The 17,198-nt window shown below is 35.7% G+C and overlaps 1 long non-coding RNA gene across 2 annotated transcripts in view, besides 1 other annotated feature; it reads right to left on the reverse strand.

Moving 5' to 3' along the window:
• Window positions 1–1,113: 1,113 nt before the first annotated feature.
• The window catches only part of LOC102724934 (uncharacterized), a 181,069-nt gene continuing 164,984 nt past the window's right edge, over window positions 1,114–17,198 (reverse strand). Inside the window, exon 4 of one of the 2 annotated variants that reach the window (XR_007064104.1) lies at window positions 1,114–1,542. This is a non-coding gene — a long non-coding RNA (uncharacterized LOC102724934). The remainder of the gene's footprint in view (window positions 1,543–17,198) is intronic. The other variant, XR_001750707.2, reaches the window with a different exon arrangement.
• Window positions 5,818–7,666: an enhancer, noted in NCBI's record as "VISTA enhancer hs566". NCBI's record gives its function as "enhancer in: forebrain[5/5]" and the evidence as "EXISTENCE:transgenic organism evidence [ECO:0001131][PMID:17130149]".

Below are 17,198 nucleotides of genomic sequence, written 5' to 3' on the forward strand. Positions count from 1 at the left end.
ATGTCATACAATGAGATTACCCAGAAAAAGCATTTCAAATAAGAAAGGAAAAGATGAAACACTAAAGACAGCTGGCCTGTGGGAGGTAGCTGCAGAAAAAAATATATATATATTTCTTAAGTGACAGATAATAAGAACCGGGAAAACCTAGATCATTACATGCTGAAGGGAGAGAGAAGAAGACAGTGATCGCCAGTGCTGAAAGCCTTAGAGGAGTAAGACAGATGAGGACTAAAAATTATCCATTGAATTTAGCAATCTCAATCTGATGAATCTATTTACAAAGATTACAAACTCTTGGGTAGTGAAGAAAGAAAATCAATTGAAAGAGTTGTGGAGCAAATCTAATTTAGACGTTAAAGAAAGAAAGAGTAAATGGTTTGAACACCTAGATAGTAAAGGAAAGGAGAGAACAAGATGTTTACCCTTGTTTGTGTGTTACAAGATAGAAGGCAGTGGTGAGGAGAAATTTATGATACAGAAGTGTCATTGAGGGGAGTTTCAGAGGGGATAGGAGGGACAGGATCAAATATGGAGACAGAAAAATCCTTTGTGCAGAGCAAAGGATATTTTATCCACGGAGACTGGAGGGAAGTAAGTTAGGATGAGTACAACATAGTTTTAGGGTGAGAAATGAGAGATTTTACCCCTGAGGGCATAGACCTTGTCACAGAAGAGGTAGGATAGGAGGTCAAAACTAAGCAACAGCTTTGGTTACGCCACTGTTCCCTAAGGTACCTATGAATAGTAACTCTTAGATTATAAATACACATAATTGTTTTTAAGTTTATGAAAGCTAAAATATTCAGCTTTTGCCTTTATTTAATATGTTAGACTAGAGCAAGTATAGAATATCATGTATCAGGTCTTTTCTGCCACTTCTGCAGAGCATTACCAGTATTAATTATATCCACAGTTAAGTTCTAACCTGGTGATGGTGAAGATAACTTATTGCAAGATCTTTAAATTAGTAACCAACTGGTAGAAGTGATATCTTTTATTGTATCTCCATTTAACTAAAGATTAGCCAAAAGCCATACAATTCAATAAATAAGTTTATTTTTATTTTAACCATTATTCAAATCAAATAACTAAAGGAAGTAGCCACAAAAGTAATATTTTCATGTAAGTTTTAATCATGTTCGTTTTTACTGAACATATATTTCAATCAGAGTATGTCAGTTATGAGTTGCAATTCAATTTATTTAGGTGTTGTCCACCTAATACCTGTAGAGCTGTTCACAAATTAGAAGACCAAAAATGATAAACTCTAGTCTCATCTCTGATATAAACAGAATGAAAAATCTTTCTGAATAACTCAGAAATCTTGCAGCTATTGTTGTTATGTATTGCTACAGGCAATAACTCAGATTTTTAAAAAATGGGTATCAATTGAGAGGCCATCTGGTATTGTAGTTAAAAGTAGAGACTGTAATGTCAAACAGCTCCAGACTCAAGTAATCATCCCACCACTTCCAAGTGCATGGCTTCAGCTTCCTCCTTCCTAAAACAGGGTTGAAAAGAGTGCTTACCTCAGTGTTACTGTGAAAAGAAAAGGAGATCATTCATTTAAAATGTTGATAATAGCTGACACATAAGAGGAACTCAAATAAATAATAGTATAATTTACTAACTACAATAATAAAGTACTATAGACATTCTAGCATAGAATGAATCATCTAAAATACTCACTGTCTCAATGAAAATATATGGCTTATTATTCATACTTTTAGTCACTCATTTTCAAACCAAAAAGAGAAAGAAGATACAATTTTCTAAGAATTTAAGATGAACTTTATAAAAAATCTTTTGATCTTGAACTAAAGAAATGCTTTTTTTTTTTTTTTTTTTTTTTTTGAGACGGAGTCTCGCTCTGTCGCCCAGGCTGGAGTGCAGTGGTGTGATCTTGGCTCACTGCAAGCTTCGCCTCCTGGGTTCACACCATTCTCCTGCCTCAGCCTCCTGAGTAGCTGGGACTACAGGTGCCCGCCACCATGCCTGGCTAATTTTTTGTATTTTTAGTAGAGACGGGGTTTCAGCATGTTAGCCAGGATGGTCTGGATCTCCTGACCTCGTGATCCGCCCCCCTCGGCCTCCCAAAGTGCTGGGATTATAGGCGTGAGCCACCGCGCCCGGCCGAAATGCATATTTTTTTAATGGTAAGGATTGAGGAGTAGTAGAAAAATTAGCATATTTTGTAGAAACTGCTGAAAAAGTGGTATATATGTGAGACAGAGAGAGAACTTATGTCAAGGTAGAATTTATGCCAAAATATTTCAAGAGATATATGTTGAGGAAAAATGTACAATTGTGTTTATGAGAGATCAGTATTGATAATAGTCTTTAAAAATCTTAGGAATTATCTATAATCAGATCTGTATCTGTTATCTAATTCTTTTTGTGACACCCATATCACTTTTATGATACAATAAAAACTCTTATTGATTAGTCTTAACCAATCTGTAAAATATGACTGTGAAAAAAATGTATTTTTTTTCTACTACCTAGATCTATCATGTCCTAGGGCTAAAACACTCCCTAGCATTTCCAGGCAGAACTTGAACACAAAGCATTTATTTTCATCCAGGTGTTTAAAGTACCCAAAAGAAGAAATTTTGGAGGTAGCTACAGTTCCATCATGTGCTCTTTGGCATTATAAACAAACGACATAATCCTGGTGGATAATGACCTCCAGGAAATAGGCATTTTTGTCTGACCTGTACAATACACTATCCCTTGTACTTCGAACAATTCCTAGCACATATGAGGATCTCATTACATAAGTTTTTAATGGATGAACGAGTCTGTACGCTCACTGCAGCCTGTGAAGAGGGAGCAGCTGTTGAGAAGTGGGCAGTATGAGGGCAGAACCCCCAGCCATACACACACAATCACAAGACTGCAGAAGCTGGCTGTAAGTGCCGGCAAAACCAGAGATGTATTGGCTAAATTCTTTTAAAAGGGTGGGGAGCAGTTAGGAAAAAACATAGTATTGAGTTTTAGTTTTAGAAAATGCACATGAACATAGCTCCAAAAAGACATCAAACATTATTATCAGCCCATAGAGGAAACTATAAGGAAAAAAGTAACTTACATAAAGACAACATAGAAAAACAACCAACACTTTTCATGTTCTTCTTTGCCAGGTGTTAACTTGAGGACATCACCAGTTCTCACAACCACGTATGAGGAGGCTACCTTCGTATTACTTACTGATTGGCAAAGTGACACACACTTAGGACACTGTCCAAGATGACTCAGTTAGGAAGCAGTGAAGCCAGGGTTTGAATTTAGGTTATCTGGCTCCATGATACACTCTTTATCTGGTCTGCCTTTCTCAAATGCAAAAGGTCTGCATGGTCATTGACAGTTTCCTTGTAAACAACTCAGTCAGTGAAATGCAGCACCACTTGCCTCTTACCGTACTGTCTGCCACTAAGTTGCTGATGGCTGGACTAAGTGGTAGTGCCTCTGTCAGTTTCCTCATCGATAAAATTAGTATTTTCCAGACCTATCCAGACTGCTTTGCTTGGAGATTGTGTGAAATAACTAATCAATAATCGTAAAATGCTTTGAAAACATGGAGGACTACATACAAGTTCAATATTATTACATGAGTTTACAGTGTGATAGCACAGCCGTAAAGGTCAAAGCTATTTTGAACTGCATACAGAGAGGCACGCTGATGTAGAACTGAGAAGAAGTTGTTGTCTTTCCAACAAGGGGGCTGGGAATTGGGAATATTTTAATAAAAATATTTTTCTTATTTGTGGACGGTTAAGTTCTCAAAACAAGAAATTAATTAGAAGACAAATATGTAGAGAGAATTACCATCATTGCACCAAGTATTAAGGGACAAGAGTGGTTGGATCAAGACAAGGAAGTAAAGATGCTGATCTGGTTAAGTGAAAACACAGACTAAATAAACCAACAAACTTCAAACACTTGATTGTGTAAATCCAAGAGTGAAAGGAAGTTAGTTTGAGAGTTAAAGGAATGCCCAGAAATACAAAGAAAGGAAGGAGGAAAAAGAAAGAAGAAAGGAGAGAGAGACAGAGCGAGAACACGAGCAAGAGAGAAAGAGAGAGAGAGAGAAAGGAAGGAAGGAAGGAAGGAAGGAAGGAGGCTGGCTCATTTGGGTTATAACAAATAAATACTTATTAAATTAATGCTGATTTGCTTTGCTTCATTTTAAAGATCGTGGATTACTGACCGATCAACTCAGCTGCAGTATCAATAATGATTATGTCAAATGCCAGTGTGGATTGTCATGCTAGTCTAATGCATTCAGAGACACAGCCTTACACTGATGCAAATGGTCCTCTTATCTAGACTGGCTCATGGGATGTAAGTAAAGCCTTGACAGTTGGAATGATGAAAGAAAGTCTGGAAGAGGTTCTTGAAATTGTATTTAACAAAAGATCTTTACTCCAGCAGAGCCAAGTATATTGTTAGATGACTTTTCCATTTGTCTTACATAATTCCCATAATTTTGTGAATTAGGCACTATGTCAAACATTGTGAAAATTCAGGGCTCTAGATCAGTGCTTCTCAAACTCAGTGTCTTTCTCAACATATTGAAATCTCAAACAAATGTGAGGAGATTACTAATATGGTTCTTACTAGTAAAGCCAATAGCAAATATTTTTGAGCTGTTGTATGCCAGGCACTTTACATGAGCTAATTCATTTATCCTCAAAACAGCATTAAGTGGTAGTAACTCTCCTTATCCCATTTTCAAAGATGGAGAAATCGAGGCACAGGTGAGTTAAATTCCTTGCTCAAAGTCATCACAGCTAGTAAGTGGAGGAGCCAGGAGTTCAGGGCTCAAACTTTACTAAGTTGTGAGTCATTTAACTTAAATATAGACATGATTTCAAGTCAGTTCTATAAAAAGAACATTTTCACTTGCATATAACCATGCTTACCTGAAACAGAGGGTTAAGAAGTGAATTTACACCAAAAAGCTAGAAGTTATCCAAACCCAGGTTCATCCACAGGAGTATGTTTTTTATTGAAAACTCTTTATTCATAAGTTTTTGGAATAAAGTCCAAGAACCTCTGGACTAGAGAACCATGAAACATTTTTATTTTAGAGATAGTGTTTCCATCACTAATGTATCTTTATCAGTGAAGAGTTGTTATCCTTAATTGATATCCTCCTGTCTATCCCACCAAAAATGAAACCTTAATATTCCAAATATGTCTTAATTCAAGATAATGACCATTGTTGAGAGTGCTGTCTAGGGCCCTTGTTTTTAGTTTTGTTCTTGAGGCAATTCCCAGGTCCCATTCTTGAAAGAGCCTCACAGGCCTGGACTGATGTGTACAGCTTGAATTGTCACCTGCTGCATATCTGAAGCAGCTGTATCCACCACAACCTATGTTATCCTAGTACCATATCTTGTAATTGAAACAGATCCCACAGGTCTCTTAGCTCAGTCTCTCTTTAAAAAGCTTAGAGACTTTGCTGCTCCTACTAGCTGGATCCTTCCTTTCTCAATCATTTCTTCAAGTCTTTGGGCAAATCAAAAAAACAGCTTCTTCTTGCGTGAAAAGTTGGTAAGATCAGAGATAAATCCTGCAGCTCCCAACTCAAATACTTCAAAATAGCTGAGAGCTTCCCTGGGTTTAGTGTACTAACCGAAGGCTTTGCCTGGTACAGTTGAAGAGACACGCACCAAGCCAAGAGATAATCTACAGAGGAGAGTGTCTTCTCTCTTACTGATGATCAGTGCAATCCTGTGGGGTAACGTAACATTTCATCTGCACACACAGACAGTAGGTAATTCAGAGGAAAAGAGAAACAACAGTACACAATCCACTGTGAACAATCTGCTAAGTTAAAGTCTTATTCCCATATGTCAGAAATTAACTTGTCTGCTTCAAGCATTTATCCAATAGGAATCCACATCCAATGTATTAAAACTTAATTTAAACTTAATTAGTTTGTGAGCAGTGTTCAATAAATCTTCTCCAAGTCTTTCTATAGTGAAATCTCTGTAGCCAGATGTTGATTGTGTACACATTGTTTTGTGTTGCTTGCATAAACATTATAATCACATATAGACAACAGCAGAGCTACAATATTTAGAAAACATTTTTCACACCTCCTTATTAAGCAAGACTATGAAAATTATGACTCATCACTGCACCATTGTTTTTGCCTGTTTTCTCGTGCTGGTTGAACAGTCATAGGCAGCTGGTATTAATACAATAGGTAGTGCTTAGGGAATTAATGGGTGATGTGTAATACACCACAAAGGTATCTGTCATGCGGAACAATAGGCGCAATGATATAAGATGTATGTATTTGAAAATTTGCTCAAATGTGAGTTTTCCAGCATAAAGACATACCTTGACTGTGCTGCAAAATTAGTTTTTAACAATTGTAAGAAGTCTGCCAAAAAAAATCTGCTTTTATTTTATTTGTGATCCTGAGAGCATTTAAGCTACTAGGAGCAGGGATATACGTGCTCCTGTTCTCTCTGCTCCTATCAAAACAACACTAGAGCGCTTATGCTCCAGGGAGATTTGTATAGAATCTGACGCTTGTATCAGCTCTGAAAAAAACAACAAAATTACAGTCTGAGGTGATGCAAATGATATCCTTGGTGCATCTTCCCCATGCTCCTGCGAGGCTCTTGACAGCTGATGGTTGGATTAAACAAAAAGACCAGTAACTTATGACTATTAGCTCAAAGCAATCATCTCTCATTATTTCAATTACATGGGTAAATGCATGCAATCATGTATCAAATCACTTTTCCCTTTTGAAGAGGTTCTTTTCAGAGTAGGATTTCTGCCAGAAAAAATGTGCAAATATTTACACTGGTTTTTCATCCAACTGCACCTTTGTTTGGCAAAACCACCCTATGGCTACAATTCTGAGTGATATTTTGAAAAAGGGGGAAAAAAACAAAAAAGGGAATTGGAAATAGTATGCGGTTTTGGTGACTCATTAGCAGTCTGTAAAGGAGGCATCTTCCGTTACTTACTGCTACCTGACTTGTCAGTATGAATGTGGCTCCTATTCCCTAAATCACACTACCTGTGAATAGAGCTCCGCTGGCCAATTCAAGGCTCTTTAGGCAACTATGATTGATGACTCAGTGACTAGGAGAAAATTGCCTTCAATGAATTATTCATCAAGCTATCTCTTTGCTGTTAAAGTAGCTGACAGGAAAGTTCTGACACTGCCTAAGCACAATCCACTTACAAATCAGTTACAAGGAAATATTAAAAATAGCTCGGTTACAGCATACCAGCACAGTATCAAGTTGGGGCTTTTTTCTGTCTACATTGAGCATCACGGAGAACTTGAGCAGCTCTTCCCATTTAGCCATTGTGCTAATGGCAGTAAAGGCAGTGATTAGATAGAAAGCAATGTGATTTGTATTGGCTTTGAAACAATACACTGTTTTTAATAACACAAATCTCTAAATTTAAGGTAGACAGTTAATCAAGCAAATGGTAATATTTAAGCATCTTCCAAGAAAATAAATAAATACAGTTTGTGGAGGTTAATTTATCTTTGCCTTCCTGTTATTGAATTATTATGAACCTAGGAAAGGATCAAGCCCATATCTACTTAGGCATGTTGTATATTAATTTTTAATATGGAAATGATCAACATATAGCCGGGAAAACATGGCAAAAACATGGTAGCAAAACTTAGTAAAGGTAGTCATAAATAGTTATACAGCGTTCCTGCTTTCTTCAAAGTATTTTCTTTGCCATTCTTAAGATGAGTTATTTCCTGTTGACTCTGATCAAAATTCATAAATATGCCATACAAATTAGACAAGATATACTCCATTTCTAATAGAATTCTAATAGAGTTCTGTCTTGTTTGACTTCTCCCTTTTATATATTTAAGATCTGAGGTTTCATGGAGTTTTGACTCTTGAAAACAAGCTTGCTCTTAGCATAAAAATCAGAAGTCGTATTTTCAGTGACCTTTTTTGTATCACTATGTCAGTATGGAATTAACTGGTGTCATTCTATGGGTCAAAGAAAGTAGAACAGTAATAGGCTCATGCCTGTTAGAGACTGGAGAGCTGCAGATTTCCACATTTTCTACTCTAACCTTGACCTTATTGAGCATTAGCTCATTTTAAAAAGAACGTCTTTGCCTTGTACACAGGACTGTGACCCTGAAAGGATTAGACTTCACCCTGGAAACCCCTAATTCTGTTTGTTTGTTTTCGTATGGGCACATCTCCAACATCATTGCTGTCATTTTACAGATTATTTTAATAGTTGAAGTTTTAATTTAAGGCTTTAAAGAAATTTGTTTTTATTCTTGTAGCTTGTTCCTCCTCCCTCCCCAACCCCATCAGCTTTAGTCAGAGAATTCTATTCCTGTAAGACACTTATGTTTATTTCCCCGAAGAGCAGGGTGATTCTGAGCAACATGAGTCCCAGTTGCCAGAATGTTCTGACCTACACTAAAATCTGAAGTCATTCCCAAACTCATTTTGTTTTCTTCGTGCTGTATTAGTAGAGTTGATGAATAGATAGATTATAATGCATAAATTTTTGGCAAAATCTCAAGAAAATTTTATTAAATCATATTTAAATGGGGTTAGCTTGGCAAAGTCCCCTAATTAATTCACAATTTCCTGATTACCACCAGCAAATTATCAAAAACCTTTTATTTTTCCCACTTCCTAGAAAAAAATGTACTGACATTGTCAGTCAATCTATGTGAGATGATGTCCACGTTAGCTACTGCAAGAAGTTTGCATGTTATCCAGAGGTTCTTTAATAGGATGCACTTATCTTAAGAATATATTTAAGCTAAATTAGTATCAAAACTATTATCAGAGAACAGTTTTCCAGTGATTTTTTTTTCTTTAAAACTATAACTGAAAATACCATCCATTTTAAAAGCTTTAAAAGATTTAGACTCAACATTTCATTAGCAAGAATTGATATGAACTTATTTCTGTAATGAGATAGAATTCTTATTTAGGAAAAGTCCTGTTTCTGAGTTTGTTCTGATTTTTTTTTAAGAAAATGATGATTTCCGCTCTTATCTCTACCATCCCATAAACTGAGGTATAAGAGTTTGTAGTCTAAACCTAAATAACTGACTCCATTGCAGTTCTGGTATCTCAAACCATCTGCTGCTAAATATGAGTCCACTTAAAAAATTCAAGTAAAAAAAAGCCAATATAGTAATATTTTGAAAACATTTAGCATCATTTACTAAAAATGTGGATGAGGGAGCAAAAATACTTGAAGAATGTATTGAAAAGCAACGCATCTGTTTAATGGCTCTTTCACGAATCCCCATCAGTTTGGCATTGTGGAGAAAATCGCTACTAACAGCAGTTCTGCATGTATTAACATTTTGCCCTCTTTTCAGCAATGTTTGCTCACTGTTGTTTTACAGTAGGGTAATAATAATGCTTATCTTATGGAATATTTTTCTTTTACTTTTCAAAAAAATATATGTATTCTAAAGATAAATACATAAACACATATTCTAATAATAAATACAAAATATATACCATATATACAAAAATAAATATAGATACTTACATACATAAATACATAAATTTAACTAACCATAAATTTAACTTGCTAACAGTTCTTGCCATTACCTACCATTTAGATATTTCTTTGAGATTTAGATTTTTTTAAATACTGCTTTACAGCCAGACATTTTTTGGTTTTATTTTCCTCTAACATCTGCATTTTTACAAATGTGATATATAAGTGGCACAATTAATGCTGCACTTAATTGAAACATCTTTTTGTTTGTGAAATCTTGAAATCACATATTCCATTTTTTCTAGTGCATACTATTGACAAATATTTGAATCTATTAGTATTGCTAAATATGATTAACTTTGTGATTGAAGGTAGAATAAAAGAATTAAACCTATAGAGAAAACAAAGTATCATGTGTCCATAAACTTAATTAGTTTTGCTTCCTGACATTCTTATATTGCCTTTGTCCTAGTAAATGCTAATTTTTATTGTACTGAGCTCCCAGATATTAAGTATCTCAGAACCAGTGCTTTATGCATTTCTCCATTTTGACACTTTTGGGAAAAATGTGGTTTTGAACCTATTTCTCACCTCTTCTTTTTCTAATCTTATTCACCCCACACTCTATACCACGTCCCCCAAATACGACCAAATATTGACTGACAGCTTGAAAGTGCTAATCGAATCATTCCCAATTGTATGTATTCAATATGTTGGCTTTAAAAAAATTGGGAGCCCAAATCTTTCATCGAAGATCATTGCTCAATAGACAGACAGATTTTTAACCAGAGCAAATTCAAGTACAGCTTTCAGACCAGTCAAACCCAGGAGACAGGCAGGAGGTCTGCCCTTCCCCAGCCGTTCTTCTGTTTGCATTAGCTGTTCTTGCTCAGGCTCCATCGACCTGTCAGAGCCATCACAGTGATTGACTGCCCCGGCAGATGTGCTGCTATAACAGGTAACCTGATCATCCAGACCCATCTGTCTCTAAGTCCTCTTCAATTCACACTTTGAAAAATATTAGAGGTTGGGAGGGGTTGAATTCTTTGTGGGGATTTTTTAGAAAAGTAGGCTATCTGTATTTCACAAAAGGTTACCCTCCAGTGAGTGAATGGAAATGTATAGCATTTGAGCTCTTTAGTGAGATAAGCTGCTTCCAGGGCATCTTACTATCAACATTTTAAATTGGCCAACAAGATCTGGGGGAATTTGAAAACCTGATTTCCAAAACACCATCTCAAGTTAAGGACCAATTTAAAAGAATAGCCATGATAATAATAGAATGATGTTGCAAAGATAACAGTTTCCGTGTATGAGTGAGACAGATGGGCTGTCTGTGCATAGAGAGGAGGGGAATCTCATGCAATGGGAGCAGTCCCGTGTCTTCCCTTCAGTGCCCATAGCCTGGCAAATGTTGTGACATCATTAAGCTGAACTGCTGATTTCAGATGAGTCTGGAACAAGAATGGGCAGGGGTAACTCAAGCTTCACGCTGAAATGTACTTAACTAATTTACTGGTGTCACTGTTTCTGATAATTACTTTTCACCAAAATATTTTGCTGTGCTTGTGTGCAGAGAATTTCATTCTATAAGTCAACACGGTAAGTGTAGAGCTGCTCAGGATCTATCAACAGCTTCTATTAAGACAGAATATAACCTTGGTGGGATCGGTGGCTAACACTTTTCTATTTCTCAGTAAAGTCTATTGCCTACGCACTATCAAGGGGTGAACATTGGCTGAGAATGACATGGTTCAATATCTATGGGAAAGTAACATACTGTAGCAAGCACGACAAAGTAAAATGAACGACTACTAGCAAAAAAAGTGAACTTTTTTTTCAAATGAGACGAACAGAATTATACTAAGTGTGCACATAAATAACGATACCTGCAGAACCTAAAGAAATACATGAGCACATAGAAATATATGAATGAAGGCAAACATTCCTTAATAGAACTCATTTGCAATTCTTTCATAGGCTAGCCCTGTGAATGAGAATATGCCAATATTTATACTATTTCTCCAATTCAAAATGTTAACAATAAATACATTTCCCAAAGTGCTCTTTCTTGGCTAAAGAAGCTAAATTCTGTTCTGGGCATAGTTTACCACTTTTATCTACTGGTCAAATTCCTTGATTTGTTTTAAGGTCCTTCATGGAAATGAACATACTTTTTTCTTCAGGTAAGAAATAGAAAATATAACATTTTATTATTTTAAATTAGCAATAACTATTCTTTCATCCTTTTTGTGGCCTGAGGGAGGATCAGATTTGTTATTGATGTTGCTTGAAAAGGCAGAGATGGTTTGAGTAAAGCTATCGAGTGCTTCAAGGAGTTATTTATCATATAAAGATGTGGCTGATTAATTCAGTTTAACAGTGCCCACTCTTCTTCTCTGTTCCTATACTTCTAACCCAAAGTGAAAAAAGTCGCATATTTGAAACACAAATCTACCCAAAATTTAGAAAGAGCTGAGAACATGATGGCACAATTAGAAAAAAATATCAACACTGTCTTGGCAAAAAATATTTTTAAAAGAGTTCACCATTTTTTGTAATTAAAAAGTTAAAGGGGAAATTGTCACTATTTTAGTAGTGTTTGTCATTGTATACTGTGCAATTATTTGCTCTGAAGCCCTTATAGATGCAGTGGTATTTCTAAACCACACATATCTTCAGTACTTGCATGCCATGGATTCAGATCTGTAAGTATCCTGATATGGAACAAGAGATTCTTTTTTAAACTCTTGCATTTTCATCTACTTCACATCATATAACTCACATTCTTAAAAAACGACTGAAGATTTTCTTATTTCCATGTGGTTCCTGCTTTCTAAATTCTGTTGCTTGTTTTCTCCTTGGAGTTCTAAATGTTGCTTTAACATCTTTAGGTGTGATATAGATAGATTTAGAGTGATGTAGTTAGCAAGCCTCAAGCTGCAGCTTTTAAATACATTTGAAAATCTTCTTTTGGAGGAAAACAAGGCACTCTTATGGGAAAGTTACACTTTATTTTGGAGGTACCTCTTGCAACTTTTCATTCCAAAGGTGCTGAATTTACTATTGCTATCAACATGTATGTAATTAATCTTCCATCTCACAAACTTTTTCATGTGCAGCTCATCAAAGCTAGTTTATCCTTTGAACAGCTTAAATCCTAAATTTTAAAAAAGAGGGACTAAGGTCTATTTACCAAATCAAATTCAGTTGAATGTTTGAGAAAGTGTCCTTTTACATAAGGTTTATTCCATATGATGTGTTGATCTTCTGGAGCACAATTTGCCTCTGTGTTCTCCCATGTAACTATAGGCCTGCATTCATCTCAACCCTGCCCTTGTAACATTTTTTTTCAACTAATTACATCCATAGAAAGAGTTTTGTGTAAATATGGTTTTAGCAGTTTATAACAAGAAAAGTGGCTTTCACTTATTTTAAGTTCAAGTTCTGTATATTCAATTACTGTTAACAAGCACTCCACCTACTGGCTTACGTGATGCCAAGCAAGCAGTCCGTGATACGAAGCAAATCGGCAGTAGTAAAAGATATTTCCAAGTCTGCGATATGAACGGGACCTCAGCTTTATGATCATCAGCCAGGGTCAAGTGTGACTGAATTGCTGTTCACCAAGATTAGGATGATTCCTGGTATTTGTCTTGGCTAAGTGACAACCTAATCGTGAAGAAGATTTCCAACATCAGTTTGTCCTAAGAGGGTAGGATGGTTCACTGAGAGGTGGATTTTTGCAACCACAACAAAGAAGGGGGAAAATCACATTCCAGAGCATCAAAATACCTTTCATGCATATTTAGAACAAATAAATATCAGTACAAGCATAAGTATAAAAAGTACTTTTGTCCAAAAGAGTTCTTAAATAAAATAGGATATTTATTTTTATAATGAGTTAGAATTATAGACGTTGCATATGGTTATTTCTCATCCACCAATATGCCATTTTAAAAACTGTAATATTGCAGGAGCAACAGAAAAATATGTGCTTGAAAAATGTCTTTGACCATTGCTTCCTACCCTGTGAACTTTTTAGCGTAGTAGTCTTAGTAATGACTAATTATATGACAGACAAAGAGAGATTAGTATTAGGCATTATAGTGAAATCAAAAGAAATTGAACCAGCTCTATTCCACAATGTCAACATAATGTATAAATCATAACCTTCTGCCTACCCCACCCACCACTATCCATCTTGACATCTCTTTTTAAGGACAGCTTACTATGTAATTATGGCCACTGTGACTATATTATGGTATGTTTGAATGTGGCAATAAACAATATAGCAATTAATGTGAAATAATACAAGAGCAAATCAAGGCACACAGTCTAGATATTGAGGAAAAGCAGCAGGGACATTGAAAATAAAAGCTTAATGGGCTGTGGTGTGGAAATGCTTTTCCTAATATTGTCTCGGGGTGTTATTGTGAATAGAACTGAAAAAAATGTTGATGGGAAACTGTCTAACTATATAAAAGGTTTCTTGGGGTCAACTGTATTTTATCTCCAACTTTCCATCTTCTCCAGGATTAGTGAAGAATAATCATACACTTTCAATAGCATGGGAAGGTCTCCTGACTCCAGAAACTCTTGTAGTTTGCAGCTAAACCAGGATACAATATGGCACTAAGTAATAGAACCTATTCTGGGTTGATGAATGCTTGTGCACTGATGCTGGAATAGCTTTATAACTGCTTTAGTAAGAGCCCAGTAAAACTGCATCCCAGATGCATGAATTTCTCTTTTGGCTTTGCAGAGGAACTGTTCACAGTTAGGGGGGATAAATCAGTTCCATTAAGCATTTACCCCGCAAAACAGATATTGAGGAATCTTAGCACATGACGACACAACAAAATTTACCTGACCCTTCCAAGCTAAGGAAAACAAGACAGAAGGTCCTCTCGAGAGGCTGTATCATATATATGTTCTAAGCCTGTGCTGCCCATATGTTCAATAGGACTGTTGAATCTCAAAGTTATAATAATTTGCAACGAGGTGCCAGAACCAATTATTAAATATCATATGATCCAACAGAGATGAAATAAAAATATACAGGGTCGATTTTACTGGCTTTGACTATTATAAGGCATTTAAAGTACTTTGAATTTACAGTTTAACTTCAGGGTTGTATTAACGACATCCTTATGCTAGAATTTTGTTCTCAGCTGAATATGATAAGCTCAATGCAGATGGCATACTTTTCCAAGGACAAAGGGAGTCTTGGCCTTATCCTTTCTTTTTGATTTGTATATCAACTCAGGAAAAGGAGATATGCTATTATGATATCTTCCACTAATGTAAACCTTTATTCAAAAGCGCAAATGACAGCCAAAAGTACAATTCAAGTGAGAAAAAAGGTAGTGTGTGATAGTATCACAGAATGATACAATCTCAGCCAAATCGCTGCCTATAGTGTAGAAAAAGGAGACTCTTAGTCTTCAGTGTAAACAGTCATAATTTATTTACCATGACATCTCTAAAACACGAATGAATAAATGTTTTAAATACTGGTTCTGATCTCAATGCCAAGGCCAGTTCTTTCTCCCTGATTGCTGTGAATCTACCCTCAGCGAAATAAGAGATGCGGATTGGTGGTTTGCCACGAGTAAAGTGAGGTGCTCAGAAAACGAGGTTTGTTCTGCTACTATTATTTCAAAAGCACGAGTGAGGCATTCAGTCGAGTCTCCAGAATCAAAACAAGATTGTTCTACCTTAGTAACATGTTGCTGGAATGAAACCATGTCTTTGAATGGATTTTCTTGAGAATCAAATTTGAAAGGCAAGCTTTCTCTCCAATCTGAGCATAGTGTGTCTGCTGAGGCCTCAGTATGATCAGTTTAGGAGATTAAAGCCTGTCTTCCCTTGGTCAGGGGAGCATTGCAAGCACAGGACCATGTTTGTCTATGTATGTTTACAGCACCTGTCAGTTGATACATGAGAAACAAGAAGAGTAATGTAAACTGATCCCCTCTATTGCTGAATATTTAATGCAGTCCACTAGAAAGAAAAGCACAAACATTCTACTTTTCCAATGCTTGTCTTCCATGCCCTCTTCTAATATTCTCTTGGGAGAGGTGGGTTTCAATCCTGGTCAGGGCAAGTACCCATTTATTTCAGAATCCTCACTTTCTTGTCTCGGCTTCCTTCCTGGCTCCTAAAATGAAATTTATTTTATTTTAGCCACCTCTGAGCATACTTGTGTGTATATATTTTCAGGAAAATTGGATTTTCCATATAGATTTTTAAATCAGTTTTCAGATCAAGTTCAGAAATATGTAAATTGTTGTGTTGTTGGACCAGGCAGGAGTAGAACATATCCCTCAGATGAAGAGTAACCAATACTATAAAGTGATCTTAAATGAGAAAACTAGTGTGTAAGTCAATTAAAATGGCCAATAATGGGAAAACAAGTGCCCATTCCAAGAGCAATTGTAAGACATTTAACCCAAGGAAAGTTGCATTATACATTTTTATTAAATTGAGGCTATATTCACACTTATTGTGGTTTGAAATGTGAACCAATATTTTCTATCTTTGGTTTCCTTGCTTTAAGATCTCTTAATGTGCATAAGATGTAATTCATAATATCATATGACTGTTTTAAGTTTGCAAGTTACTGTCTCGAAAGTTATAATTTAATTTAAATTGACAAATGCCCATTAAACTATTATGCTCTCTCATAAAATCGTATCTGACCTGAGATTAATGTAACAAGACTCTGCAATTCCTAAGACACTTGATTCTTTGTCATTTTAACCTTATTTACAACACAACACAGTCAATTTTAAAGAGCACTATCATTTAGCACAATATAAAGTATTAGCTTTCAAAGATGTATTCAAATCCTATTTAAAGCTTAGCTCTGCTGTTTTTCAATAATCTTTATAATAAGGAAAAGAGAAAAAGATTAAAGTCCTAGTAACAAAAAAATACCCTTATGCCTACTCAAATCCTTCCTGAAAGACATGCAAAATGATATTAATAACTCTTAAAATAGTTTGTAGATAATCTGCAAATATAGATCTTGGGAGAGAGAAAGAAGAAAACTTCTGTAAATCTAAAATGCATGATAGGATCTGTAGAAAGGAACTCCAGCCACTTTCCAAATGGAGGTCTTCACATTGAGAGTGAGGATATTGCCACGTACAAATAAGAAAAAAACAGAAAATAACAGAAGAAAACAAAAGAAAATATAATAAAACTCTTGTCTGATCAATTACACTACTCTCATTGGGGAAGTGTTACACTCTGAAGTGGCAGCTTGGAAACTCCGACATATCTATATGCTAATTTCCTAACATCTGATTGTATTCCAGTTTTGATCTTGGCCACCCTGAAGGGTCTGACTTCCTTTCAAGCTATCAGTTTCATTCCTCCTGGCAGGTAATCCCCATGAACAAAAAGATTAATAAGTATAAAAAGGATTAGGATAAAACATAATAGAATTTCATGGAATTCTGCCATTTTGTGCCATTATATTTTGTTAATGTTAACAATAGATTTTGTATATTCAATACTTAACCCATGACAGACACAATGCTAAGTGCTTTTAGGACATTATCTCATTATATTCTCTCAGAAACCCTGCAAGTACATATATAGTTTGTTTGTTTGCTTTTTAGATGGAGTCTCACTTTGTCACCAAGCTGGAGTGTAGTGGCACGATCTTGGCTCACTGCAACCTCCTC

The sequence above is a fragment of the Homo sapiens genome, chromosome 14 (assembly GCF_000001405.40).
Source record: "Homo sapiens chromosome 14, GRCh38.p14 Primary Assembly".
In the NCBI taxonomy this organism is placed as follows: domain Eukaryota; kingdom Metazoa; phylum Chordata; class Mammalia; order Primates; family Hominidae; genus Homo; species Homo sapiens.